This window comes from Homo sapiens, chromosome 12 (assembly GCF_000001405.40).
Source record: "Homo sapiens chromosome 12, GRCh38.p14 Primary Assembly".
NCBI lineage: Eukaryota > Metazoa > Chordata > Mammalia > Primates > Hominidae > Homo > Homo sapiens.
The window spans coordinates 6840762-6867204 of NC_000012.12; the positions used below are offsets into that span (position 1 = coordinate 6840762).

Genomic DNA, 26443 nt, shown 5'->3' on the forward strand with positions numbered 1-26443 from the left:
TCTCTGGAATCCGTACACCTCCCTCCCTCCCCCCACCCCTTCCCCCCACCCCTGCCAGCTGATTTCATTTGCCTGACGTTGTGGTTGGCTCTACCCTTCCCTGTCAGGCCCCCCCAACCCCCCGCCGGTCGGGGCCAGGCCAGGCCAGGCCAGCTCCTCTGGCAGCAGAGCCTGGGCAGGTGACGGGCGGGCGCGGGCGTCGCAGCTGAGGGAGTAAGGAGGCTCCCAGGAACCGGAGCTGGAAACCCGGCCGAGGTCCAGCCAGAGCCCAAGTAAGAGGGAGCTGGCCTGGGCTCTGCTCTCCTGGGCTGGGGCGCAGGCAGGGCTCAGGCAGGCTGGGGCTGGACGCAAAGGACCTCAAACTTGGAGGGCCTAGCTGGGGAGAGGGTGCAGCCACCCAGTCGTTTCCCTGTGTCTTGGAGTCTGGTGTGGGCACGAAGGGCAGAAGCACAGCCTGGTGGGGGGTTCCTCAACACCGACCCCATGTTCCTGGCAGGAGCCAGAGTGACCCCTCGACCTGTCAGCCATGGGGGAGATGGAGCAACTGCGTCAGGAAGCGGAGCAGCTCAAGAAGCAGATTGCAGTAACTCCAGAGCCCTACCCCTGGGGCCCCAGAAAACAGCTGGGGACATGAGGAGCGTGGCCCAGGGGGAGGGGGCTGGGTTTGCTCTTGAGTGACTAGAAGTGACCAGGGACTTTCTAAACTTGGTTCGCATATTTGAGACCCCCAAGCCCCAGAGCCCCAAGACCAACCTGCCCTGAAGGCCCATGCACCTGCCACCCCCACCTCGCCCTTGCTCCCCTGATGTCTGCTTTCCCTGCAGGATGCCAGGAAAGCCTGTGCTGACGTTACTCTGGCAGAGGTAAGACCCCCTGTCCCCCGGAAGGCAGGGCATGGGGGGAGGGGAAGGGAGCTCCCCGACCCGCAATAGCGCGTTGCTCCGAGCATTAGTACAGCACGTCCTTGGAGTGAGGAAACCCATTAATTAATTCATTCGACCAACATTTTAGCGGGACCTGCTCTGAGCCAGGCACCATATTGGATGCGAAAGATGCGGACACGGTTCCTATTCTCATCCGTAGAACAAGAGTGACCACAGCCCCCTCCCAGGGCCTTGAAGATGAAGAAGCGATAGTACTTTGTAAATTATAAAGCCCTTGTAGACTCTAGCTGCTAGTTTTCTATGCTGTATTTTGTCAATTCTAAGATGCACATTTCTTCACATTTTGACATCTCTGAAATCAAGGTGCATTCAGCAATGGATCATTGTTTCAATTAGAATTGACAGCATCTTTTCTTTCTTAGTGATGCATCTTAGATTGGATTAAATATGTTAATAGTGAACACTTTTTATGAGCCAGATACTGGGCTAAGCTGCATAAATACCTGATTTCATTGAATTTTCATGATATCTCTGTAAGGTAGGTGCTATGATAAGCCTCATTTTACACCTTGAGTAAACAGACTCAGGGAGGTGAAGCAACTTGCCCAAGATAACAAAGCAGGCCGGGCGCAGTGGTTCACGCCTGTAATCCCAGCCCTTTGGGAGACTGACGTGAAAGGATCACTTGAGCTCAGGAGTTTGAGACCAGCCTGGGCAACATAGTGAGATCTCTTCTTAATATAAAAAAAATTGCTTTTAACTTTTTAAAAAAAGATAGCAATGCAAGTGATGGCAAATCAAGTCTGTTCACTCTGGACCCCCAGCCTAAGTCTAAAATGTGGTTAGAGCTCAAGGGGCATAGTACCACAGATTTCAGGAGGTACAGTTCAGGGTCATGGTGATGCCCCAGGCACCCAGTTAAAAAGCTAGCCGTGCTGCAGCGGTGGGTGCAAGCAGGCTCCTCTCGGCTTGGGAGAGCCAGCTCTGTGCATCTCTTCCCAAATCTGTTTCCAATGACCTCACATTGGCAGCTGGAAACTGGTCAAAGTGCAAGTATTCGTATCGTGGAAATCACCTTCCCACCTTCCTCACCAACACTGGAGAGGTGCTTGTTAAACACTTACAAGCAACACACCTCTGGCCATGCATGCATCTCTTTCCCACATCAGTCTAAGACACTCCAGGGCAGAGACTTATTTCTCTAAGGCTGGGGGCCTGACCTAGAGCCTGGCACAGAGCGGGAACTTGTATAGATCAGTGGCAGTGACAGACATCTGGGCACGTAACCTGCTCACCCTGATATTCAGTGCCCCTCTCTCTGCAGCTGGTGTCTGGCCTAGAGGTGGTGGGACGAGTCCAGATGCGGACGCGGCGGACGTTAAGGGGACACCTGGCCAAGATTTACGCCATGCACTGGGCCACTGATTCTAAGTGAGGCTTGGGGGGGAACCGAGAATGGGAGGGTGAGAGCGGGAGTGAGGAAGGCGGGAAGGGGAGGCTTGCATGATATGGGATGCCCTCTCCCCAGGCTGCTGGTAAGTGCCTCGCAAGATGGGAAGCTGATCGTGTGGGACAGCTACACCACCAACAAGGTACCAGCCCTGCCTCCCTGAGCCTCCACCACTGCATCCTTCCTAAGGGCGCCATGCCTACCCTCCTGTGCCCAGCTGGGAGCTTGGCTCCGGTCCCATCTCTGCTCAAACCACCCTCCCTGCAGGTGCACGCCATCCCACTGCGCTCCTCCTGGGTCATGACCTGTGCCTATGCCCCATCAGGGAACTTTGTGGCATGTGGGGGGCTGGACAACATGTGTTCCATCTACAACCTCAAATCCCGTGAGGGCAATGTCAAGGTCAGCCGGGAGCTTTCTGCTCACACAGGTGAGGGAGAGACCCTCTCCTCCCCTCCTGAGGGGTTCAGGGAACCCTGGGCTTCCAGTGGGCTGTGGCTCTGCAGCCAGGGCACTGTCCTTCTAACCGCCTCCAGGTTATCTCTCCTGCTGCCGCTTCCTGGATGACAACAATATTGTGACCAGCTCGGGGGACACCACGTGGTGAGGCTGAACATTGCTGGTGCTGGGGCTTGGGAGTGGGCCCGGCCTTTCTCTAACAGTCTCCCTCCATTTTGGCAGTGCCTTGTGGGACATTGAGACTGGGCAGCAGAAGACTGTATTTGTGGGACACACGGGTGACTGCATGAGCCTGGCTGTGTCTCCTGACTTCAATCTCTTCATTTCGGGGGCCTGTGATGCCAGTGCCAAGCTCTGGGATGTGCGAGAGGGGACCTGCCGTCAGACTTTCACTGGCCACGAGTCGGACATCAACGCCATCTGTGTGAGTGCACCCCCCACCCCAGCTTCACTCCAACTCCTTCCCCGACACTCCCCACAACACATACAATACACATCCTCTGCCCCTCCCATAGCTTCCCTAGCCCTTTCTTACTGTATTTTTTTTTTTTTTTTTTTTTTTTTTGAGACAGAGTCTCACTTTGTCGCCCAGGCTGGAGTGCAGTGGTGCAATCTTGGCTCACTGCAACCTCTGCCTCCTGGGTTGGAGCAATTCTCCTGCTTCAGCCTCCTGAGTAGCTGGGATTACAGGTGTGCGCCACCATGCCCGGCTAATTTTTGTATTTTTAGTAGAGATGGGGTTTTGCCATGTTGGCCAGGCTGGTCTTGAACTCTTGACCTGAGGTGATCCTCCCACCTCAGCTTCCCAGAGTGCAGTGCTGGGATTACAGATGTGAGCCACTGTGCCCAGTCTTCCCTAGCCCTTTCTTTCTTTCCTTTTTTTGGAGACAGAGTCTCACACTGTTGCCCAGTCTGGATGCAGTGGTGCTATCATAGCTCACCGCAGTCTCAACCTCCAGGGTTCAACCAATCCTCCCACCACAGCCTCCTGAGTAGCTGGGACTACAGATGCGTGTGACCACGCTTGGCTAATGTTTTGATTTTTGTGTAGAGATGGGTTCCCACTATGTTGCCCAGGCTGAGCTGGAACTTCTGAGCTCAAGCGATCCTCCTGCCTCAGTCTCCCAAAATATTGGGATTACAGGCATGAGCCACCACGCCTAGCCCATTTTATCACGTTTGCTTTATCATTTTTTCTCTGTAGAGAAATAGCCATAGATACACACACACATACACACTTAGATGTAGATATACATTTTCTTTCTGTGTCTTTTGAAAGTAGGTTGCAGACATCATGTTTCTTTACCCCTTAAGTACTTCCCGAAACAAAGCCCTTCTGTAGCATAATCACTGTATGATTCTTAAGATCAGGAAACTCAACATTGACACAATACTACAGTCTACAGTCTATATTCAAATTTCACCAATAGCCTCAAAAATGTCCATAATAGCTCATGTTTTTTTCTGTCCAGGATCCAATCCAGAAACGTGCATTACCTTTCCTCGCCATATCTTTTTCGTCACCACCTTTAAACTGGAACTGTTTTCCCACCTTTGTCTTTTATGTCATTGACGTTTTTGAAGAGTACAAACCAGTTTTCTGTAGACTCTCCCTCCGTTTGAGCTTATCTGACATTTGCTCGCCGTGAGATCCAGGCCTTGCATTTGTACTGGACCCTGTTCTTACACACCCTGATCCAGCCCACTTGTGTAGTCTGGGAGTCTGGGACAACCTCCGTCCGCCCTTCTAGCCGGGTCACTGCAGGCAAGCCTTGGTGCTCTTGCCTGCGACGTGGAAATGATGCCTGCCTGCAGCGCTGTATAGTGCAGAGCGGGCGAGGGGCATAGGGAAGTCACTGGCACGTGGTATGTGTTGGCAGGGCTGCTTCTCACCCCAAACCAAGGGAGGGACAGGCAGGGAGGCTGAGAGCAGCGGCTTGCCCTGGAGCTGTCAGGTGGGAGGCAGAGGGCGGGAGAGGCTGTGGGCTGCCCAGGTCTGATCCCTGACCCACTTGCCACCCGTGCCCTCAGTTCTTCCCCAATGGAGAGGCCATCTGCACGGGCTCGGATGACGCTTCCTGCCGCTTGTTTGACCTGCGGGCAGACCAGGAGCTGATCTGCTTCTCCCACGAGAGCATCATCTGCGGCATCACGTCCGTGGCCTTCTCCCTCAGTGGCCGCCTACTATTCGCTGGCTACGACGACTTCAACTGCAATGTCTGGGACTCCATGAAGTCTGAGCGTGTGGGTAAGGGCCAGCCCTGGCTGCTGCTTCCTCAGCTGGAAGGACCCTCCCCAGCCCTCCCTCCCCATTCTGTACCCCCCATCAGCTCCCATTTCGGACTCTCTTACTGCTGTCCCTTGTCACTGGGTGACTCCACCCCTGGAATCCAGTACCCCTTGGTTCCCAACTAGGACTGTTTTCCCTCAGTGTTGCTCTAAGCAGCCTCTCTCCACTGCCCAATGCCATGACTGCTCCCTGCCCTAGGAGATCTGTGGACCATGACTGTCCAGTCAGTTCTGGGTTCCTGGCATTTCAGGGGCACCCACTGAGAGGCAAGACAGCCTCAGGGAAACATGGAATCAAGGCAGAATCAAGGAGATCTGGAGTGGCCCGAGGGCCCTGACTGCAGCCTAGGGCTCATCTAAGACTAGCCTGAAGTTGGTCAGATAGGATGGCTTCTTCTCTATCAAGAGGCCAGGTGCTGATGAAAATAACACTGGCCAGGGGCAGAATCCAAATCCTAATTCTGTTGCTCACTTTCTGAGTGTCCTTGCACAAGTCACTCCTCCATGGGCCTCAGTTTCTTCATCTGGAAGCAAAGAAATAGGATGAACGGTTGCCTTCTCTTTTCCAGCACCTGTCAAGGTGCCCTCGGGTTTTTTCATAGTACACAGATGCTTCCAGCCTTTCTCTGTCTGATCCCAGCCCTCCCCCAACCAAAGCTCTTGACAGAGAACCCCCTGCCCTACAGCTAATCCTCTTTCAGTCTCTTAGCCTTCTTCAGGGGTTGAGCCCAGTCTACCGAGTCTAGGATCCCTGCATGCATGTGCTCAAGCACACATGCACACACACACGTACACACACCCACACATGCATACACATGCACACATATCCCCCCACACACCCACATACACACACACACCCACACACCCACACATACACTTACACGCATGCACACACTGCTTTCCAAATCAGCTTGGAGAGACAGGCTGACTCCTTTCCCTCTTCCTCAGGCATCCTCTCTGGCCACGATAACAGGGTGAGCTGCCTGGGAGTCACAGCTGACGGGATGGCTGTGGCCACAGGTTCCTGGGACAGCTTCCTCAAAATCTGGAACTGAGGAGGCTGGAGAAAGGGAAGTGGAAGGCAGTGAACACACTCAGCAGCCCCCTGCCCGACCCCATCTCATTCAGGTGTTCTCTTCTATATTCCGGGTGCCATTCCCACTAAGCTTTCTCCTTTGAGGGCAGTGGGGAGCATGGGACTGTGCCTTTGGGAGGCAGCATCAGGGACACAGGGGCAAAGAACTGCCCCATCTCCTCCCATGGCCTTCCCTCCCCACAGTCCTCACAGCCTCTCCCTTAATGAGCAAGGACAACCTGCCCCTCCCCAGCCCTTTGCAGGCCCAGCAGACTTGAGTCTGAGGCCCCAGGCCCTAGGATTCCTCCCCCAGAGCCACTACCTTTGTCCAGGCCTGGGTGGTATAGGGCGTTTGGCCCTGTGACTATGGCTCTGGCACCACTAGGGTCCTGGCCCTCTTCTTATTCATGCTTTCTCCTTTTTCTACCTTTTTTTCTCTCCTAAGACACCTGCAATAAAGTGTAGCACCCTGGTACATCTGTGATGTTTGCCTTCTACTCTCTTCTGTTCCAAAAAGACCCAGGTCCCATTTAAGGGCAGTAATGTGTTACAGGTGCTGTGATAAAGGCTGGGTACTGGATAGCTTGTGGGCTTATGGGAGGAGGCCTGAGATGGGTCAGGGGGAGAAGGTATTCAGCAGGTGGCTGGGGGACTGTGTGCAGCAGTTCGCTATGGCCTGCCTGTGGTGCCCATGTGTTTGTACGGGAGGGTTAGCTTGAGAAGGAATCAGATTATAAAAGGTCTTGAATGTCAAGCCAGAGAGTCCAGACTTTTTCCTAAGGGCAATGAGAAGCCATTGAGGAGTTCTGAGCAGAGTAGTAACATGATCAGTTATGCTTCTCAGAAAGATTGCTCCAGATCTTTCAGAAAGAAGCAGTGTAGGTTGATGAAAGGGAGGGACTGGCACTGGGGAAACAAGGTAGGAGGCAGGTGGCAAGAAATGCAAGAGCGACAGGACAGAGGGGTTAGGGAGAGGGATTAGGAAGAGATTAAAGATGTGGAATCAGCTGGAACAGTGGCTCATGCCTGTAATCGCAGAGCCTTGGAAGGCTGAGGCAGAAGGATCTCTTGAGGTCTGGAGTTTGAGACAAGCCTGAGCAACATAGTAAGACCCTGTATCTACAAAAAAAATTAAAAATTACCTGGGCAGGCTGGGCATGGTGGCTCATGCCTGTAATCCCAGCACTTCAGGAGGCTGAGGCAGGCAGATCACTTGAGCCTAGGAGTTTGAAACCAGCCTGGGCAATATGGCAAGACCTCATCTCTATAAAAAAAATACAAAAATTAGCCAGGCGTGGTGGCTCATGCCTATAATCCCAGCTACTGGAGAGGCTGAGACAGGAGAATCGCTTGAGCTCAGGAAGTTGAGGCTGCAGTGAGCTGTGATCGTGCCACTGCACTCCAGCCTGGGTGACAAGAGCAAGACCCTGCCTCTAAAAAACAAGCAAACAAACAAAATGTGGAATCACCAGGATTTAGTGACCAAATGCTAGGATATAGGACATTGGGAGGGAAGGATTCGAGATAATGGCCAAGGTTTGGGTTTGGTGGCTGGGTAGATAATGCTGTCATTCACAAGGATAGGGAAGAGGGAATGAGGAATAGCTTTTGGGGGAAGATCATAAATTCAGTTTTAGACAAACTGACTTTGAAGTACTTATAAAGCAGCTGGATAAAGGTCAGGGTTAGAGAGAGAGACCTGAAAGTTACCAGAATATAGGGAAGTGATAGCTAAAGCCCTAGAAGTAAACACCCAGGGAGAGCAGGGCCAAGGACAGAGCCATAGGGACACCATGGTTAAAGGGAGATGTGCAAAGAAGGCTCAGAGCATCAGTGGGCTCAGGCCAGGGAACGCAAGCTCTCTAGGCCGCCATTCTACACACAGAAAACTCGGTGCAAGGTTTACATATACCTTTTTAAAGTAACATTTAAAATTACTTCCTTTAATATAAAAGAAACACACAAGACACAAAGAAAGCCCAATAAAGCTGTGAGTCCCAGTTTGGTAGCTGAGGAGGAGTCTAAGAAAACAAGCCATTCCTCAGTATCCCTGGGAAAGAAGGGGTGAGAGGACACAGATATCACCAGGCCCTGGGTGACTGCATTGCTGGGGCCATGCAGGGCCTAGCTCTCCACCAAGGGAAAGTGCTGATTTTCCTTGTCATGGTCCTGGCCTTGCTCCCATGCTCGTCCTCCAGTTTTCAGAAGTCGTCCAGTTCCAAGAATGGCTCCTTCCTTTAGTTCACTAACATTTTCACTTAGGGGTGAAGGCCGCTTACCCTGAAAACGGCAGTGTATGAGTTGGGGGGAGTTGCTGTTCAGAAGAGGGAAGATCTGGGTAAAAGGGTCTCCCACCCTCTACGTTGGATATCCTAGTAACAGCTTGCACTTTCTCTTCCTTTACCTGTCGTAGTGTCAGGGTGCCAGGGGAGTTGTCATCCTGCAGGATGGTGAGGGGGGATCTCCCTAGTACCTTGCTGCTGTTTGGTTTCCATCTATTGCGCATAGAACCTGGGGTGGGTAAGGCGTTAAAGCAAGGACCCAAAACTAGGACTTACAGTTTATTCCTCCCACACTCACCCATGGACCTTATCCCAAAACATTATCCTAGTTTATCTTCCCTGCATCTTGCCTTAGATTCTGTACCTGAAGATCTGGGAGTCTCAGGGTCCCTTGAGGGCTTGTCGGAGCTCTGGCTGGCCACAGGGGTTTCTGTGGGCTGTCTTGCTTCCTCCTTGGAAAACACCTGTTTGGAGGGGAACTCAGTCTGGTTCCAAGGTGGCATCTGTTCCTCAACAGATAACTGGGTACCCAGAGGCAAGTCCAATTCAGAAGATAAAGGTGCCTCTGGGGGCAGAACAGGCTCTGGGGGAAGATTTGATTTAGAGTCTTCAGTTTCAAATACTTCACTCAGCTGTTTCACCAGTGGGCTTGGGGGGTCTAGAGGAAGAAAGTGAAGTGAACAGTGACCTTCTGATACACAACATTCAGCAAGGAGCAAAACATACAGAAACCCAGGACTCATGCCCAGGAGGGTGAGCAAGTGGGAAGAGAGAAATCAAGGAAATCAAGGTGAAAGGGAGCAATTTTTTTTTTTTTTGAGATGGGGCTTGCTCTGTCCCCCAGGCTGGAGTGCAGTGGCGTGATCACAGTTCACTGCAGCCTTGACCTTGTGGGCTCAAGCAATCCTCCCACTTCAGCCTCCTGAGTAGCTGGGATCACAGGCCCATGCCACCGTGCTTTTGTGTGTGTGTGTGTGTGTTATGTGTGTGTATTTTTTCTAGAGATGGGGTTTTGCCATGTTGCCTAGGCTGGTCTTGAACTCCTGGGCTCAAGCGATCTGACCACCCCGGCCTTCCAACGTGCTGGGATTACAGGCATGAGCCACCGCACCCAGGCTGGGAACAAAATATTGAGATAAGAGTGAGATGGGTCCGAAGCAGGAGGATAGAGGCCCCTTTAAGGAACCCTGAGAGAATGGCTTCATGGACCCTACCCAAGAATAATAGATGACAGCTTCATCAGCATTCCCTGGGCCCAACGCTTACCTCCACTGCTGGTCTTCATAGGTGTCCGTGCAATACCAAGAGTAGGAGAGCGGGGATCTGAGTCCTGGGCATGTTTAAGACCCTCCAGTTGCTCCCCTGCTGGTAGGCCTGGCTGTGGAGAGCTCTCCACCTGTCAAGACCATAGGCTAGAACAAGTCTGGGCCCTGACTCTTCTCTCCTCTCCTCCCCATATTCCAGGAAGGAATTGCCAAGGCCCTCAGATATCCAGCCTACCCCACACAGATTGAGATTGCAGAAAATAAGGCTAGGATAAGGGTGGGGTCATGACGGCTCTCTCAAAATCAGGTTAGGAAGAGACCCAAGAATTCAGACATTCTCTGCCTTTCCCACGCTGGCCCAGAGTACCTGGATGGGAGTGCGCAGGATGCCAGCACTAGGTGAACGGGGGTCCGCCACTCGAGCCAGATGCTTGTTGTGCGGCGGAGGCCGCGCTGGTGTGACTGGGACGCTCTTGGCTGAGCCCATCTCAACCAGGAGTTGCAGGGTGGGGGCAAGGGCCAGCCCGGGACGAGGAGGGAATGCCTGTGAGAAGTGACTCAGGTCTCAGCCCTTATCTCTTCCACGTCGGACCTTCAACCCTAAACCACCCTGTCTTCCCAGTTTCCAGTGAAGAAACTTCCTGGCGAGGGACCAGAGGCCTCTGCGGAGTTAATGACTGCTGCAGCTGACAAAATGGCTCGTTCTGGGCCTGCTGAGCCCTCTAACTTATTTATTAAATTATTCAAATCACTTACCGGGCCCCAATTCCACCTCTGGATGCACAACAGCTCGTGGCTCAACTCCCGAAGTTACCAGTTTCAAACTTCCCGCCACGCCCCCTGCCCTGACCCTATTGGCTGAGCCGACGTAGTTCCCATAGGCCCTCCACGTAAGACCCGCCTCGAGCCAAAGGAAGCTGTTGGTCTGGGAGAACGTCTATCATGGTGACTGTAGGTGTCAATGGACTGATGCTAGGCTTGCCCAGGGGTGACGCCTCCTTGATAAGGGTACTTCTGTTCAGTATCGGCCTGCGAGCCGTCCGTGGCAGGCTGAGGAGTGCCAGTCTTCGCTTTCGAGACGTCTAGTCTCAAGAACGAATTATTAAACAAAATAGAATCATGAGTGATTACACTATTATGCGCACATCCAGCTGGAGTTGTGATGGTTTTCCTGAGGCGAGCGATAGTAGCTTTATTGGTTGACAGCTGTATCAGTCACTCGACACAACCCCCTCAAGCTCCGCCTCACTGGATACCCCCTTTACAAATACCAAGACAACTGTCCCTCGACTTTCCGACCGGACAGGTCCCCAGGAAACTTTCTGGAATTGAGAGGCCTAAAACAACCGTCAGTTCCTGCTCTTCAATAGAAGGCACGCGAATGGACTCTAAGGGTCCCGGAGCCGGAGCAGCTGCGGAGCCGCAGCAGCTGCAACCCCGAAGCCCACCTAGCTGCTCTACGTGCGCTCCCGCCCTGGAGGAGTGGGATTGGTTCTTTCAACCATCAATTGCCTTAGGAGCGCTTCTCATTGGCGTCAGTCAAGCGCGGGGCAGGGGCGGAGCACCGGCAGGCAGGCTCCGTCCAACTGCCATTCTCGCGCGTCGTCTCCGCGGCGCATGCCCCTAACGAGTGGCGCTCATTGGACGGGAGGGGCAGGGGAGGGGACTGGGAACGGTGGGAGCCGCCGTGTGTGGAGAAGCTGCTGCCGGTGTCATGGCGGAGCTGAGTGAGGAGGCGCTGCTGTCAGTATTACCGACGATCCGGGTCCCTAAGGCTGGAGACCGGGTCCACAAAGACGAGTGCGCCTTCTCCTTCGACACGCCGGTAAGCCCATTCCCCACGCCCGCAACGAGCACGACTTCCTTCCATCGCCCTGGTCATTCCGCTGGGGCCTGCAAGGCTTGGGCTACCGCCTCCCTGCGATGCACCATGGGACTTGTAGTCTCCCACGCTCCACTCTGCCGTTGCCTTTCATTAACTGCGGCTGTCGTGTGACTACCGTCCCCGGAAGCCGCCGCGCTCACCTCTCCGGCTCCCCGCTTCGTGGAGCACTGTGGGCATTGTAGTCACTCACTGCCTTCGTTGCCGTTCTAAGCTAGGGGCGCAGCCCGACCGTCGGACTACATCCCCCAAGTGGACCCTTGAGAAAACCTGGCAGTCGGCCTTGTCTGCCGCGCACGGCTCTCCGGGTTTTGTAGTCTCGTGTAGGAGTGATGGGGACGACTCCCCACTGTTCTCGGCCGGGGTTGGAGTTGGGGGGTGGGGACCGCAGTTCCTAGGCGGTTAATAGTCTGGGAGTGGACTCTCAAGAAGTCCGATTCTGAGAAAGGCAGAGAGCCTCCACCCCGTGGTTAAAACAGACAGGGGGCGGGGAGGGGAGGAAAGAGGAGAGGAAAGCTCTAGTCGTTTCTCCTTTGAAGTGAGCAATGGCCGCAGCCCCCACCCTTCCCCCCGCCCCCCAGCCTATCACAGACAGCTGAGATAACCCCTTTTAAAGTATTCCTAGAGAGGTGGTTTCTTTCTCGGAGGATGCTAAGGCCTCTTTCCCATCCCGCTCCCACTCTTGGCTAGTTACACAAAGCCACCTCCCACACCATGCTTCACGTTTTGCAGGCTCCACCTGGTACCTCCCTTCCTGCAGTTCTGCCTTCCCTATGTCACCCTCAAGCGGAGGCCCTTTGGGGCCTGAACTGAGAAGGCAGCAGCTTGGTTGGGATCCGCCCCCCTCACCACCCCTCCCCTCAAGCTGCTGTGCCCTGCCCAGTGTATTCTGCCAGAACCAGCTCATGGCCTGAAAACTGCAAGTCAGAGTGGAAAGCCTTCATTACTGCATCACCAGTACTGAGTAGAACAGCATGATGTGAGGCCCAGTTCAGGATCATCACTGTGATTTGTGGTTTGCTTGGTTTGCTAGGCTTTGATCTGGGCCTCAGACAATGTGCTGCTTCTCTGAAGTCTGGCTTTGGCAGAGGTAAAAGAGCACTGCGCGGAGCAGAGCTCCGGGGTTCCCAATCCTTGGTGAAATCAGCATCTTTAATTTCCAACAGAGGAGTTTAATCACTTCAGAGCTCCCACATTCTTCCCAGGAGGGAAAGGTTTTTCTTAAATTACCAGCAGGTGGTAGAAGTCAGTGGGTCCCTCTTTACACTTTTATTCACTCCTGTCTCTCTCCTTAGTAACTGCTTTGAATAATCCAAAAAGGGTTTTTGTAATCTTCTGAAACTTTCCCTTTTTCACCCCAAGTCAAGAGATTTTCAGTGTGCCCTAGTTCTTTGCTAACCAACTTCCAGCATATTTGGTTACCTTCAAATTGGGCTCATGGTAGAAAGAGCTTAGTTGACCTCCCCGGTGAGAAATGCTCTATTTGTTCATGAACTTGCAGTACACACTGTTCCTAGGAAGTGGTACAGAGCAATCTATGGGACCAAGAACTACCTTAGACAGTGCACTATTTTTCATATCACAGCAGAGAAATGTTCAAGGCCACTGAGACTTTTATTCCTGGAAGAGGATGTCTGTTGTTGCTCAAAGCCTTGGATCTGAGGGAAGACCCTTATTGTCTCCAATTTCCTCCTCCACCTTCTCCATCACTCTTTACAAAGGCACTGGAAAACTTGGTCAGCTTTGGGGGAAGCCCATCCTCCCTTCTCAGCTGTGTTTCTGGGTGGACACCCGTCTGTCCCTGTTTTCACGGGTTATGTGTGTTCTAGCTATCTCAGCAAGTGTTGCGAGATTGTTGTCAGAACGGGATGGCTTTGAGATTGGTGATTTGTTGGGACTTCAGCAGGGATCTTATTGGTCGGAGGGGAGGCAGAGGAGAGAGGGTGGTGGCTATGGAATGCTGGACTTCATGACCCTGCCAGACTGGGTGCATGTTTAGCTGTGAGTCCCTAACAAGTCATTGTTCCCCTGGAAGCCACACTTCAGCAGGAGAGGAGGGAGAAGACTCACAGTGTGGACCAGGGTTCGACTACCTGGTAGAATGTGGTAAAAGAAAGGTCTTTTTCGCTGGATGTTTAGTCTCACCGCTGTAATCCCAGCACTTTGGGAGGCCAAGGTGGAAGGATTGTTTGAGGCCACACAAGTTAAAGACCAGCCTAAGCAACATAGCGAGACCCCACCTCTAAAAAAAAAAAAAAAAAAAATCTAGGCATGGTGGCATGTGCCTGTAGTCCCAGCTCCTTTGGAGACTGAGGCAGAAGGATCACTTGAGCCGGGGAGGTTGAGGCTGCAGTGAGCTATGATCGTGCCACTGCACTCCAGCCTGGGTGACAGAGTGCAGTGTCTCTAAAATAAAATTTTTTTTTTTTTTAAAGGAAAGGTAATTTTGCTTGCTGGCACACTCGGGTCAGATATACTGTTCAAGTGCTGGAATCTCTGCTCCTCTGGTCTGGAAGGTTTTCTGAATCATGGAGATGAGATAGGGTTTGTCTTAGGTGTCCCCTGGTTTGGGTTCAGTGTCTCACATGAAAGTCTTTCCTCTCCCACGAAGGGACCCTTTTTCCCTTTGAATGTAATCTCCAGCACTGGAAGTCCACAGTATTTGATCCCCATTTACTTTCTGGATCTGTTAGCCCCAGGATAGAGGTGAAGGAAGTCCTCTGTGATTGATTAAAGAGCTCCAAAGCCCAAGAAGGAGCAGGTGGAAAGATAAATGGTGACTGGTGTTGCTGTTGAATGGCGACGATGAGCTGGTGTTCCTCAGCCCCCTGATGTCCTTGTTGGTTGTTATCAAAGTCATGGGAGGAAATGGGGAGAATCTTAGCTATGTCCCAGGTCCTAAAAGGCTAAATAACTTGCCAAGGGCCACACAGTGTTAGAGAACAGAACATTTCTTCTGGAACCCAGCAGTTTCTGACTCCAGGTTTTGGTTTCCTCACCTGACCAGGCTTCATAACATCCTCGTGTTTTCACCCTTACCTCTTGTCCCACAGGAGTCTGAGGGGGGCCTCTACATCTGTATGAACACGTTTCTGGGCTTTGGGAAACAGTATGTGGAGAGACATTTCAATAAGACCGGCCAGCGAGTCTACTTGCACCTCCGGCGGACCCGGCGCCCGGTAGGAGCAGGGCTGGGGCAAGGCCTGGGTACATTGTCTGTTCCATTCTGACCTCCTATTGGACTCAGTTTCTTTTTTTCACCTACTTTTGTGTCATTAAAGCTTGGCACAGATGTTTTTTAGCTTTATTCCGTTCTGAGATGAAGCACTACCTCCTTCCGTCCCTCCTCCCGACTTGTTCCTTCGCTCGTGCTCATTGCTGATCCAGCCCTTCCTGCTTCTTTACAGAAAGAGGAGGACCCTGCTACAGGCACTGGAGACCCACCCCGGAAGAAGCCCACGCGGCTGGCTATTGGTGAGCACCGCTGCAGTCCTATTCTTCTCCCTGAGCTGGTCTTTCTGGCTCTCAGCAGCACCAGGAAAGCCCCAAAGAGTGGGCCTGATTGATGGCCCTAGAACTCTGGATGGGGCAAGTGAGGTGCTGGCTCGGAGGAGGGACATTGACCTGTTGTCATTGCTCTACTCTCCCTCTTCTTCCCTATCCTTCCAGGTGTTGAAGGCGGATTTGACCTTAGCGAGGAGAAGTTTGAATTAGACGAGGATGTGAAGATTGTCATTTTGCCAGATTACCTGGAGATTGCCCGGGATGGACTGGGGGGACTGCCTGACATTGTCAGAGATCGGGTATGACTGCCCCCTATGCTACCCAAGATTCTAGAGCAAGATGGGCCAGGGTAGTGGTGTCTTAGGCAAGCACTGACAAAGCTGAAGGCCAAGGGGAAGAGGGGCATGTGGGGCAGGGGGTTGGGTATTGCCTCTGACCCTCTGCTTCCCCCAGGTGACCAGTGCAGTGGAGGCCCTACTGTCGGCCGACTCAGCCTCCCGCAAGCAGGAGGTGCAGGCATGGGATGGGGAAGTACGGCAGGTGTCTAAGCATGCCTTCAGCCTCAAGCAGTTGGACAACCCTGCTCGAATCCCTCCCTGGTGAGGCCTGGCCCCTCTGCCTCGGGCACCACCCCCAGAGCAAGGACAAGGAGCCCACTTTTCTGGGGGATCTGGTGGGAGAGAGGGTAGGGAGCAGGACAGGAAGGGAAGCTTGGAAATGAACACGACATGGGGATGGCCAGAGGAGAAGAGAGAGAGACCTTGGATTGGCGGGGGGCCTGCAGAGCCCTCTCTCTCTGCCACTCCCTCAAATCCCCGACCCACATTTCTGCTGATTCTCTTCTCTGTGGGTTAGTGGCTGGAAGTGCTCCAAGTGTGACATGAGAGAGAACCTGTGGCTCAACCTGACTGATGGCTCCATCCTCTGTGGGCGACGCTACTTCGATGGCAGTGGGGGCAACAACCACGCTGTGGAGCACTACCGAGAGACAGGCTACCCGTTAGCTGTCAAGCTGGGCACCATCACCCCTGATGGAGCTGGTACAGCCTCCCCTCCTCCAGCCACTCTCATGCTTAAATATATTTCATTTGTTAGTAATTTCGTGTGACATGTATAATACATGAATGCATTATCTTGATAAGAAAGGAAAGTAGTCAGGTGCGGTGGCTCATGTTTGCAATCCCAACACTTTGGGAGGCCAAGGCAGGAGAATTGCTTGAGCCTAGGAGTTCGAGACCAGCCTGGGCAACATAGTGAGACCTCATCTCTCCAAAAAAGAAAAAAAAAGAAAAATTGGCTGGGTGTGGTAGCTCCTGCCTGTAGTCTCACCTACTCAGGAGGCTGAGGCAGGAGGATTGTTTGAGCACCCGGGAGGTTGAGGCTGCAGTGAGCTATGATTGCACCACTGGACTCCAGCCTGGGCTACAGAGACCCTGTCTCAAAAAAGGAAAATACTGCAGATGAGACTAAATTTTTGATTACTCCCCACTCAAATCCTCATCCCTTTCCTACCAAGCCTGTCTTACCTTATCCTATACAGGTAGAATCAGAATCACAAGTAATTCCAACCCTCACCCGGTTTCATCTGTCTTCCCTGACCGTCAGCCCCAGAAGGGCCATGACCGCACTCATATTACTCATATTCAAGGGAACCAAGAGGGTGGACCTTACTGGCTCTCCTTCTGTCCCCTCAAGTCCCTTCTGTGCAAGGGATGGGATGGTGGCCTGGCTAGTCCTGAGCCACTTCCCCTGATTCTCTTCCTGCCTCCTGCTCTAGACGTGTACTCATATGATGAGGATGACATGGTCCTGGACCCCAGCCTGGCTGAGCACCTGTCCCACTTCGGCATCGACATGCTGAAGATGCAGAAGGTGAGACCCCCTTCAACTTCAGATTCTTCTACTTCCTGCCCCTGTGAGGGCCCTTCCTCTTTGCCTGAGGCTGAGGTAGGGTTTTGGAGAAATCTTCTAGTTAACCCCATCCCCAAGATACACAGGCTTCTTTTAAATATCTAAAATCATTTATTCAGTGAATAGTACTGAGTACCTACTATGTGCTAGAGGCTGTGTGAATAAGACAGATGTGGTTTTTGCTTACAAGAGTTCTACTCTAGAAGAAAAGGCAGACATTAGTCACATTCCCAGATAAATAAGTGAATAGTTGCAAACTGGTGGGCACTGTGAAAGAGAGGCGGAGGGTACTACAGTAATTGACAGCAGGGTGGCCTGGCCTAGTTTAGGGATCAGGGACATTTCCCTGAGGAAGCGATGCTTAACTGACAATGTGAAGGAGGTTAGGGGTAACTTAAGGATGGGAAAAACATTTCAGGTAGAAGGAAATTTTATTCCTCATTCAAGCAGAGGCCCTGATGACTAACGGGCCTCTGGGACAATTATGTGTGGCCTTCCAGAACTTGAACTGGACGATACTCAACATACCTCCCATGTTTGAGCCTGTAATTCCACAAATTCTAGGCCACAGTTGAGTATCATCCTAGACTCAGTGAGAGATCGAGGTAAAAACTACAGGGTTGAGTTTCTCACTCAGTCTGAAGTGCCCCTTCTCACACAGACAGACAAGACGATGACTGAGTTGGAGATAGACATGAACCAGCGGATTGGTGAATGGGAGCTGATCCAGGAGTCAGGTGTGCCACTCAAGCCCCTGTTTGGGCCTGGCTACACAGGCATCCGGAACCTGGGTAACAGCTGCTACCTCAACTCTGTGGTCCAGGTGCTCTTCAGCATCCCTGACTTCCAGAGGAAGTGAGTAGTGCCCTCTCCTTCCCCAGGCCCCCTCCTGGTCAGCACCCTCTGGGCATACTCCTCCTTCAGCTTCCCTCAGCACCTCTGTGTTTGATTCTAGTCTTAGAGTAGTTCCTATCGGCTGGGTGTGTTGGCCCACACCCGTAATCCCAGTACTTCGGGAGGCCAAGATGGGAGAATTGCTTGAGCCCAGGAGGTTGAGACCAGCCTGGGCAACATAGCGAGACCCTGTCTTCTCTTAAAAAAAAAAAAGAATAATTCCTGTCACACTCTGGCTGACATGCTGTGAGGGGAGCAAGTTAGGGAGCTGCACCACCAGCACCCCAACACACAAACCCCACTGATAGTGCAGAGTGCCAAGTCCCAGGGCTCTGTGGCCTTCTGACAGACTCAAGGGTTAGCAGGTGGTCTTTATTTTAGGGCAGTGACATCAGATGAGCACCTAACATGGACATGTAGCACTTGGGGAGGAGGGGGGCTTGGCACACTAAGAATAAAGGCAGGTTCTCAGCAGAAATGAGTTTACTTTCGAATTTGGGGAACAATTAGAATGTGAATGCTCAGAACATGTCAACAGGTTCTGTCCAATAGAACGTGAACTGCACTTATCCTAATCCCAGGCTACCTTCCCCCTCCCCGGCTCCTCTGCCGCCGAGCGTGCTTGCACATTGGACATAGCTGAGAAGGGGAGAACAGGCAGGTTGCTGGAGAGAAGCGACTCCAAGGTTCACCCACAGCAACTCCCCACTCTTGAGGGGAGCCCGTTCACAGAGTTAGTAAATGTTTGCTTCCTTCCCTTTTCCTCGGCGCTCAGGCCAGAGCCCCTCCAACTGTCCTTCCCTTGACTTTTAGGTATGTGGATAAGCTGGAGAAGATCTTCCAGAATGCCCCGACGGACCCTACCCAGGATTTCAGCACCCAGGTGTATGTAACCAGGTCCTATGTAGGAAAGCTGTTGACAGTCATGGCCGTATACCTTCCTCCTCCCTGACCGCCTGGGGGGCACAGCACTTTAACCCCTGGCCTTTTTTTGTTTTGTTTTGTTTTGTTTTTTGAGACGGAGTCTTGTTCTGTTGCCAGGCTGGAGTGCAGTGGCGCGATCTCGGCTCACTACAACCTCTGCCTCCTGGGTTCAAGTGATTCTCCTGCCTCAGTCTCCTGAGTAGCTAGGACTACAGGCACATGCCACCACGCCCAGCTAAATTTTTTTTGTATTTTTAGTAGAGACGGGGTTTCATCATGTTGGCCAGGATGGTCTCGATCTCCTGACCTCGTGGTCTGCCCACCTCGGCCTCCCAAAGTGCTGGGATTACAGGCGTGAGCCACCGTGCACGGCCACCACTGGCCTATTAGGAGCATTCGGGTGACTGTCTTCTGGACGTGTTGTCTGTCTTGAGCTGGGTTCCTGTAGAATCTAAGGTTTTTCACGTTGTTGAGAGTTAGCTAGGGAGAGCCACGAGCAGGGGGTTGAGCTGGGGACACACAGGGTCGTTAGTTGACTGAAGTGAAATGTTTTCTTGGATATTAATGCAGGGCCAAGCTGGGCCATGGCCTTCTCTCCGGGGAGTATTCCAAGCCAGTACCGGAGTCGGGCGATGGGGAGCGGGTGCCAGAACAGAAGGTGCGTCTAGGACCCTGTCCCTTTCAGGCCCTGGGATTGTGGGGAAGCTGAGGTCTGGGAGATGTCTAAAGAAGGCCCCTGGATGGCCACTGAGCCCCAGCTGAGTCCCTGCCCTGACTCTTCCCAGGAAGTTCAAGATGGCATTGCCCCTCGGATGTTCAAGGCCCTCATCGGCAAGGGCCACCCTGAATTCTCCACCAACCGGCAGCAGGATGCCCAGGAGTTCTTCCTTCACCTTATCAACATGGTGGAGGTAAGGGCTGGCAAGATGGCACACCCCCATCTTCCTGCAATTTACTCGCTCTCCTTCCTGCCCATTTCTCCCTCTATCAGCCCCAACCCAGTCCCATCCCTGAACCCCAACAGTCTGTGTCCCTGTGAACAGTGCTTGCACCTGAGGAGGACAGTGAAGGTGATGATCCCTACCCTTGATGGGCTTGAAGCCCAATTCAGATTATGCCCAAAGACAATGATAAGAGAATACTTGCTGCTTATAAAGAAAAATACAAGCGTGTTCTAACACAGTCCCTCAGTGCAGGGATGGGGCCAGAAATGGGGAGGGGTTGGTGAATTAGGGAAGGTTTCTGCTCTGCTCTTGTGTCCCTGAGTTCCGAGTGGTAGTCTGCCTTCTCTCCCTGACTCTCCCATGAACCTTTCAGGCCCCATTCTGTTCCCTGGCTGCCCAGACCTCCCTACCCTGCCTCTTTCCCATAGAGGAATTGCCGGAGCTCTGAAAATCCTAATGAAGTGTTCCGCTTCTTGGTGGAGGAAAAGATCAAGTGCCTGGCCACAGAGAAGGTGAAGTACACCCAGCGAGTTGACTACATCATGCAGCTGCCTGTGCCCATGGATGCAGCCCTTAACAAAGGTAGGCTGCTCCATCAGCAAGGCCGTGGCACGGTGGGAGGCTAAGGTCTAGGAGGAATGCTTGGGCACCTCATGGGAGCACAGCCCAGGGAATGCCCTGCTTCACCAGCCAAGGTTCCAGTCTGGGCCACCAGGAGTAGGTAGATTAACCTCGTCCAGTGGACACTCAGCTTGTTAGCAGAGCTGCATGGAAACAGGCGAGATATATTGGACATGTGTCAGGGGTGCTTTGGAAGGGTAGAGGAACTGAAATACGGACACAGAGCCAGTAGGGAGAGGCTAAGGAGGCAAAGAAGCAGCACCCTCCGAAGGATCCACCAACCCATTCTGTCACCAGAGGAGCTTCTGGAGTACGAGGAGAAGAAGCGGCAAGCCGAAGAGGAGAAGATGGCACTGCCAGAACTGGTTCGGGCCCAGGTGCCCTTCAGCTCTTGCCTGGAGGCCTACGGGGCCCCTGAGCAGGTCGATGACTTCTGGAGCACGGCCCTGCAGGCCAAGTCAGTAGCTGTCAAGTAAGTCCTCTGGTCGGGGCCTGAGGCTGTGGGTCTATGGCAGAGCTATCCCAGAGGATACTTCTGTCTCTTCCCTGTTCTTTCATCCCTTTGTGGTTGGAACCTCAGGGTTGAATCAGTTGGGCTGGTAATCTGGCCCTGATGGAACCAAGGGGCCCTGGTAGGGGGGACACGGGTACTGACTCTATCTGTCACCTTGTCCTGCCCCAACCACTCCCTCTTCTGTGGCACAGGGTCTCTTTGTAGTGTAGCCTCTCTTCATTGCCCCTCAGTCATGGCTGAGCACAGGCACTTAGGATCAGCTGTGGGCAGAATTTGGATTTCCAGCAAATAGCCACACTTTGAGCCTAGCCATTGGCACCTGGCATGGGTGTGAGACCTGAAAAAGGGCTTTGGTCTCGGGGAGTCAGCTACCCAGCCCTTTGCTGCTCCTGCCAGTGAAACAGCTCTTCCTCTCTGTGTGGGTTTTTTTTTTTTTTCTATGTGTGGGTCTTGCTATGTTTTTTTCCCTACGTGTGGGTCTTGCTATGTTGCCCAGGTTGGTCTCTTAACTCCTGGGCTCAAGCAGTCGTCCTGCCTTGGCCTCCCAAAGTGCTGGAATTACAGATATGAGCCACCATGCCTGGGCTTTTTTCTTTTTCTTTTTTTTGTTGACAGCCTTCCTTCTGGCCTCTACTGCTCCTCGTTGGCCGAGGACAGGCATCAGACACCTGCCCAGGGGAAGAGAAGAATATGGAGGATCTTCTGGGTTATTGGGACTTCTACCCATGAGGGGCTGAACCCCAGGTGGGAGTTTCAGGAGAGGAAAACCCTGGGGATTGTCTGGGTACCAGCACAGTCTCTCTTCCCTAGGACCACACGATTTGCCTCATTCCCTGACTACCTGGTCATCCAGATCAAGAAGTTCACCTTCGGCTTAGACTGGGTGCCCAAGAAACTGGGTATGGCTGCTGGAATGAGGGAGGTTACACAGAAAATGCTAGAAAAAGAAGGGGCTTTAACACATATAAACTAGTGTTTCTCAAAGTTTCCTCTGAAAGAGGAAAAAAAATCACCTTCAATGTTTCAAAATTTATCTAGTTTGAAAGCACTAACTAAAAATATTAAAAGACTTCTTTGATTGTTATAGGTATGATTTACAACCAAAAGTGATTTTTGTAGTTTTTTAAAATAATTGGTAAAATGTTTTCATTTTGATAATCTTGAAACAATTAATTCTCGTGAGTCTTACAGGTCCCTGACTGTCATTTGAGAACTCGTGATGTACCTTCATTTTCTAGATAAGGAAGTTGAGACTCACAGGAATATAAAATCATTCTGTCTCACAAGTTCTAGGCCCCCTGCCCTGTCCATAGATTATTTATGGTAGATCTAGGACCAGCATCCTGGCCTCCCAACTCCCAGGCTTAGTATTATTTGTCTTATACTGGGACCCCTAAGATGGGTGCCGTGCTTTTAGCAGCTCCTCTTTACAGAGCAGTTCTGACATAGGGGGCAGGGGATTGAGGTTCCCGAATCACTTTCCAGGTAGGCCTCCGGGAGCTGCTGAGGTGACCCTTTTCCCACAGATGTGTCCATCGAGATGCCAGAGGAGCTCGACATCTCCCAGTTGAGGGGCACAGGGCTGCAGCCCGGAGAGGAGGAGCTGCCAGACATTGCCCCACCCCTGGTCACTCCGGATGAGCCCAAAGGTAGCCTTGGTTTCTATGGCAACGAAGACGAAGACTCCTTCTGCTCCCCTCACTTCTCCTCTCCGACATGTTAGTGACTCTTCTTCCTGCCTGTCTCTCTCCCGTGCTGATGGGGGCCTCTCTGCCTTGCATCCCCTGCCCCTGTCCTTTGTGTTTCTCCTGTCCTCCCTTTCAAATTTCCTCTGCCCTCTTTGATTGACATGGGGCCTCCCCAGCGCACTCCTAGCCACCTTCTGGGTGTGGATGGCAGCAGTGCCAGCTAGTGGCCTCTCTGCCCTTGTTACCTCCCTGGTTTGGGTAGGGTGGGGGTATCATGCTCCAGAAACAGGGCCCATTCTGTGAGAATGGGCAGGGACCCACATTACAATTGTGTGGTCATTTTGGTTTTGGGATAAGGTGCCAATCCATGGGAGAAAAATGCATGGAATGGGTGATTGGAAGAGGGCTGGGTCCTGGGGGAGGGAGGAGGAGCAAACAGTGGCCCAATCAGTCGGTCCGTGTACCCACAATTCCCATTACAGCGCCCATGCTGGATGAATCAGTCATCATCCAGCTGGTGGAGATGGGATTCCCTATGGACGCCTGCCGCAAAGCTGTCTACTACACGGGCAACAGCGGGGCTGAGGCCGCCATGAACTGGGTCATGTCACACATGGATGATCCAGGTAGGCTGGGGTGGGGAGCAGGGTGGGGCAGGGCCTCCATCCTCCCCCAAACACATCAACCCCTTCACATCCACAGATTTTGCAAACCCCCTCATCCTGCCTGGCTCTAGTGGGCCGGGCTCCACAAGCGCAGCAGCCGACCCCCCTCCTGAGGACTGTGTGACCACCATTGTCTCCATGGGCTTCTCCCGGGACCAGGCCTTGAAAGCGCTGCGGGCCACGGTATGGGCTGCCCCAGCTAAGGACATGGGGCCAGTGGGGAAGAAGGGGGTGGGAATGAGGGGCCATCCTTCTTGAGCAAGACCAAAGACAACAGGTGTGGTCTGGCCGAGGTTGGGCACCACTCTTTTGTGGCTGCGATGAAGGAGCTGAAGCCTGCGTTCACTGCTGGGTTTTTTGCCCCAGAACTTGTTAAAAATGTAATGCTTCTGTTTGGCCGGGCGCGGTGGCTCACGCCTGTAATCCCAGCACTTTGGGAGGGTGAGGTGGGCGGATCACGCGGTCAGCAGATCAAGACCATCCTGGCTAACACGGTGAAACCCCGTCTCTACGAAAAATACAAAAAATTAACCAAGCGTGGTGGTGGGCGTCTGTAGTCCCAGCTACTTGGGAGGCTGAGGCAGGAGAAAGGCGTGAACCCGGGAGGCGGAGCTTGCAGTGAGCCGAGATCGCGCCACTGCACTCCAGCCTGGGCGACAGAGCAAGACTCCGTCTCAAGAAAAAAAGTAATGCTTCCTTCCTCTCCAAGAACAATAGTTTAGAACGGGCTGTGGACTGGATCTTCAGTCACATTGACGACCTGGATGCTGAAGCTGCCATGGACATCTCAGAGGGCCGCTCAGCTGCCGACTCCATCTCTGAGTCTGTGCCAGTGGGACCTAAAGTCCGGGATGGTCCTGGAAGTGAGTATCCCCAGGAAGCAGGACAGGCCTGGTGGAATCTGGTCAGTCTACTACACCAGATCCCTCATTCAGGCAGCTCTGCCCTCCTCAGGAGTCAGGGGCTTCTTTCCACCTCAACGTGGCATCTGAGGGTGGGGTTCTCTGACATGGAGACAGGCTCTGGCCCAGTACCTGCCTCACATTCCCTGAAACTCCTGTCCTGAGTCTGAGCTGTTGTCTGGATCTTTGGGCCATCACTCAAGCATTCCTCTTCTGTTTCCTTCTCTGACCCCCTCTCTCCTTTCCTAGAGTATCAGCTCTTTGCCTTCATTAGTCACATGGGCACCTCTACCATGTGTGGTCACTACGTCTGCCACATCAAGAAAGAAGGCAGGTGAGTGCTGGCCACATGCGTTTTGAATGGAGAATGGTGGTGGGAATGAGGAGGGCCATTTGGAAGTCCTTGGGATAGCTATGGGAGAAGGTGAAGGGACTGCCTGATGGGGACATAAAGTGCCAGAGAGTGACAGAAGGTCTTGCAGCAGTGATTGGCCCAAGGGTTGGATCTGGCCACCAGCTTTTTTTTTAAATAGAGATGGGATCTCACTATGTTGCCCAGGCTGGTCTTGAACTCCTGAGCTCAAGTGATCCTTCTGCCTCGGCCTCCCAAAGTGCTAGGATTACAGGCATGAGCTACCGTGCCTGGCCAGGCCCCCTGCCTTTGTAAATAAATTTTCACTGGAACCTGGACACACTTGTTTATGTGTTGTTTGTGCCTGTTTTCACGCTGCGGCAGGAAAGTTGAGTCGTTGTGTCAGAGACCAGAGAGAGAGCCTGCAGAACCTCAAATACTATCTGGCCCTTGCCAGAAAAAGTTTACCAACCCCCTGCCTCCCTGGAATGGGTGGAGGGTGGTTGTAAAGGTACTGGAGGATCTGAAGACATAATAGGGTCCGTGACCCTTGTGAGGTTGTGAAGCTCCCTTAAGGCACATGGTGGCTGGGCTGTGGATTTGGGGTATGGGCAGAGAGTGTGGAGAGCACTTCCAGGGGCCATGTCTGAGAGACTACATGATGCCACTTTGAATGCCCAGTTTGTTCATCCTTTTCTGTTTTCCCCACTTCCCCAGATGGGTGATCTACAATGACCAGAAAGTGTGTGCCTCCGAGAAGCCGCCCAAGGACCTGGGCTACATCTACTTCTACCAGAGAGTGGCCAGCTAAGAGCCTGCCTCACCCCTTACCAATGAGGGCAGGGGAAGACCACCTGGCATGAGGGAGAGGGGCTGAGGGATGGACTTCAGCCCCTCTGCTCTGTACCCTTTTTCCTTTTGTCCCCGGCAGCAGGGAAGAAGCTGGAGGCCGTGGGAGAATGGCTGGGCAGAGCAGAGGGGCAGCGATAGACTCTGGGGATGGAGCAGGACGGGGACGGGAGGGGCCGGCCACCTGTCTGTAAGGAGACTTTGTTGCTTCCCCTGCCCCCGGAATCCACAGTGCTCTGCTTCTCTGTGTCGCCCCGCCCAGCCCCCTGGTGTGGAGGGAGGGGTCTCGTTTGTGCGCGTGGGTGTAGCTTTGTGCATCCTCTCCCAGTGGAGCGATCACCTGTGCCTCCCCTCCCCCTTTGTTTGCCCCTGTGTGGTTGGTCAAGGAGGGATGTGAGGGAAATAGGGACCCCCCGACTTGCCCTCCTGCCTCAGTCTTTCCCCCACCCTGTCTCTTCCTTGTCCTTCTCTGGAAAATGCCAAAATACACGATGTGAATAAAAGTACAACGGCTAAATTGTGTCCTGTTTGATACCTTGGGGGAGAGGCTTACCTTCCTGGGGTTAGCAGGAGGGCGCTTAAGAAAACTCCTAACTCTGGCCGCCTCCCTGCCAAAGTCAAGTCTCCACTTTTCACTGGTTCTAGAGCTCTAGGAAAATTGGGGTTGGGTGGGGAGGTGGAGTAGAGTGACTAAATGCCGACACAAAGCCAAGGAAAGATGGAGTGAAGAACCCTTCCCTCTCTTTATTCACACAGGAGTGGAGGATTTCCCAAATGTCCCTAACTGGCTAGCTGGCTTCAGGCTGGGACTCAGTCCCTGCAGTTCCTGCCAGGCCTTGCCAGCCGGGGCGAGGGTTGGGATGATCCTGGCGGCCTATGCCTGTGTGGGCTGCCCCTCCCGCTGTGAACCCTGCATTTGTCCCGCAAGTTTTCACTCAGGTAGACTCCCTGGGTACAAGGGTGCCTGCTCAGCAGTCGGGCATGAGCTGCTCCGATGGGCGAAGGAGGTTGTCTATCCCACAGTTGGAGAGGGGCCCTCTCTGCCCCAGTGGGCGATCTGGGCTACGGCCAAGTTGCCACCAGCTAGTT

General features: G+C 53.0%; 3 protein-coding genes across 28 annotated transcripts, besides 10 other annotated features; 2 read left to right on the forward strand and 1 right to left on the reverse strand.

Moving 5' to 3' along the window:
• GNB3 (G protein subunit beta 3) lies at positions 164-6632 on the forward strand. 5 transcript variants are annotated; one of them, NM_002075.4, is made up of 10 exons: positions 164-272; positions 497-583; positions 825-863; positions 2209-2315; positions 2413-2476; positions 2602-2764; positions 2871-2937; positions 3016-3217; positions 4825-5041; positions 6031-6632. In NM_002075.4, the coding sequence occupies exons 2-10, from the start codon at positions 527-529 to the stop codon at positions 6135-6137; spliced, it is 1023 nt and encodes a 340-aa protein (NP_002066.1). In that variant the 5' UTR covers positions 164-272; positions 497-526; the 3' UTR covers positions 6138-6632. The 5 variants fall into 5 exon arrangements, with proteins under 5 accessions (NP_002066.1, NP_001284500.1, XP_047284659.1 ...); NM_001297571.2 differs by having other exon boundaries at positions 2871-2934; XM_047428703.1 differs by having other exon boundaries at positions 164-583.
• Positions 4037-10525, reverse strand: CDCA3 (cell division cycle associated 3). 8 transcript variants are annotated; one of them, NR_123727.3, is made up of 6 exons: positions 10461-10525; positions 10072-10248; positions 9706-9835; positions 8804-9097; positions 8562-8652; positions 8067-8437 (listed from the first exon to the last, which is right to left on the reverse strand). NR_123727.3 is itself a non-coding variant. In NM_001297602.3 (6 exons), the coding sequence occupies exons 2-6, from the start codon at positions 10189-10191 to the stop codon at positions 8282-8284; spliced, it is 732 nt and encodes a 243-aa protein (NP_001284531.1). In that variant the 5' UTR covers positions 10192-10248; positions 10461-10525; the 3' UTR covers positions 8067-8281. The 8 variants fall into 8 exon arrangements, 6 of the variants coding, with proteins under 6 accessions (NP_001284532.1, NP_001284531.1, NP_112589.1 ...); NM_001297602.3 differs by having other exon boundaries at positions 8562-8668; positions 8804-9022; NM_031299.7 differs by having other exon boundaries at positions 8562-8668.
• Positions 10531-10580: a silencer, noted in NCBI's record as "silent region_4184". NCBI's record gives its function as "represses an Ori minimal core promoter by ATAC-STARR-seq in GM12878 lymphoblastoid cells {active_cell/tissue: GM12878}" and the evidence as "EXISTENCE:reporter gene assay evidence [ECO:0000049][PMID:35858748]".
• Positions 10741-11020: an enhancer, noted in NCBI's record as "active region_5885". NCBI's record gives its function as "activates an Ori minimal core promoter by ATAC-STARR-seq in GM12878 lymphoblastoid cells {active_cell/tissue: GM12878}" and the evidence as "EXISTENCE:reporter gene assay evidence [ECO:0000049][PMID:35858748]".
• Positions 11027-11987: an enhancer, noted in NCBI's record as "H3K27ac-H3K4me1 hESC enhancer chr12:6960952-6961912 (GRCh37/hg19 assembly coordinates)". NCBI's record gives its function as "activates a minimal SCP1, AML or CMV promoter by ChIP-STARR-seq in primed H9 embryonic stem cells {active_cell/tissue: H9 hESC(primed)}" and the evidence as "EXISTENCE:reporter gene assay evidence [ECO:0000049][PMID:30033119]".
• Positions 11027-12050: a biological region, named in NCBI's record as "H3K27ac-H3K4me1 hESC enhancer GRCh37_chr12:6960952-6961912".
• Positions 11091-11140: an enhancer, noted in NCBI's record as "active region_5886". NCBI's record gives its function as "activates an Ori minimal core promoter by ATAC-STARR-seq in GM12878 lymphoblastoid cells {active_cell/tissue: GM12878}" and the evidence as "EXISTENCE:reporter gene assay evidence [ECO:0000049][PMID:35858748]".
• Positions 11251-11360: a silencer, noted in NCBI's record as "silent region_4185". NCBI's record gives its function as "represses an Ori minimal core promoter by ATAC-STARR-seq in GM12878 lymphoblastoid cells {active_cell/tissue: GM12878}" and the evidence as "EXISTENCE:reporter gene assay evidence [ECO:0000049][PMID:35858748]".
• On the forward strand, positions 11389-25871 carry USP5 (ubiquitin specific peptidase 5). Of its 15 annotated transcripts, none has more exons than NR_168458.1 (20): positions 11389-11529; positions 14640-14765; positions 14868-15060; positions 15256-15389; positions 15544-15689; positions 15946-16130; positions 16868-16962; positions 17663-17856; positions 18709-18780; positions 19390-19477; positions 19605-19730; positions 20192-20345; positions 20682-20856; positions 21709-21797; positions 22425-22547; positions 23069-23212; positions 23289-23434; positions 23961-24114; positions 24403-24487; positions 25223-25871. NR_168458.1 is itself a non-coding variant. In NM_001382590.1 (20 exons), the coding sequence occupies exons 2-20, from the start codon at positions 14667-14669 to the stop codon at positions 25314-25316; spliced, it is 2370 nt and encodes a 789-aa protein (NP_001369519.1). In that variant the 5' UTR covers positions 11389-11529; positions 14594-14666; the 3' UTR covers positions 25317-25871. The 15 variants fall into 15 exon arrangements, 6 of the variants coding, with proteins under 6 accessions (NP_001369519.1, NP_001092006.1, NP_003472.2 ...); NR_168455.1 differs by having other exon boundaries at positions 14994-15060; positions 22384-22616; NR_168456.1 differs by having other exon boundaries at positions 14994-15060; positions 22384-22547.
• Positions 11411-12050: an enhancer, noted in NCBI's record as "active region_5887". NCBI's record gives its function as "activates an Ori minimal core promoter by ATAC-STARR-seq in GM12878 lymphoblastoid cells {active_cell/tissue: GM12878}" and the evidence as "EXISTENCE:reporter gene assay evidence [ECO:0000049][PMID:35858748]".
• Positions 12331-12380: a silencer, noted in NCBI's record as "silent region_4186". NCBI's record gives its function as "represses an Ori minimal core promoter by ATAC-STARR-seq in GM12878 lymphoblastoid cells {active_cell/tissue: GM12878}" and the evidence as "EXISTENCE:reporter gene assay evidence [ECO:0000049][PMID:35858748]".
• Positions 25023-25685: an enhancer, noted in NCBI's record as "H3K4me1 hESC enhancer chr12:6974948-6975610 (GRCh37/hg19 assembly coordinates)". NCBI's record gives its function as "activates a minimal SCP1, AML or CMV promoter by ChIP-STARR-seq in naive H9 embryonic stem cells {active_cell/tissue: H9 hESC(naive)}" and the evidence as "EXISTENCE:reporter gene assay evidence [ECO:0000049][PMID:30033119]".
• Positions 25686-26347: an enhancer, noted in NCBI's record as "H3K4me1 hESC enhancer chr12:6975611-6976272 (GRCh37/hg19 assembly coordinates)". NCBI's record gives its function as "activates a minimal SCP1, AML or CMV promoter by ChIP-STARR-seq in naive H9 embryonic stem cells {active_cell/tissue: H9 hESC(naive)}" and the evidence as "EXISTENCE:reporter gene assay evidence [ECO:0000049][PMID:30033119]".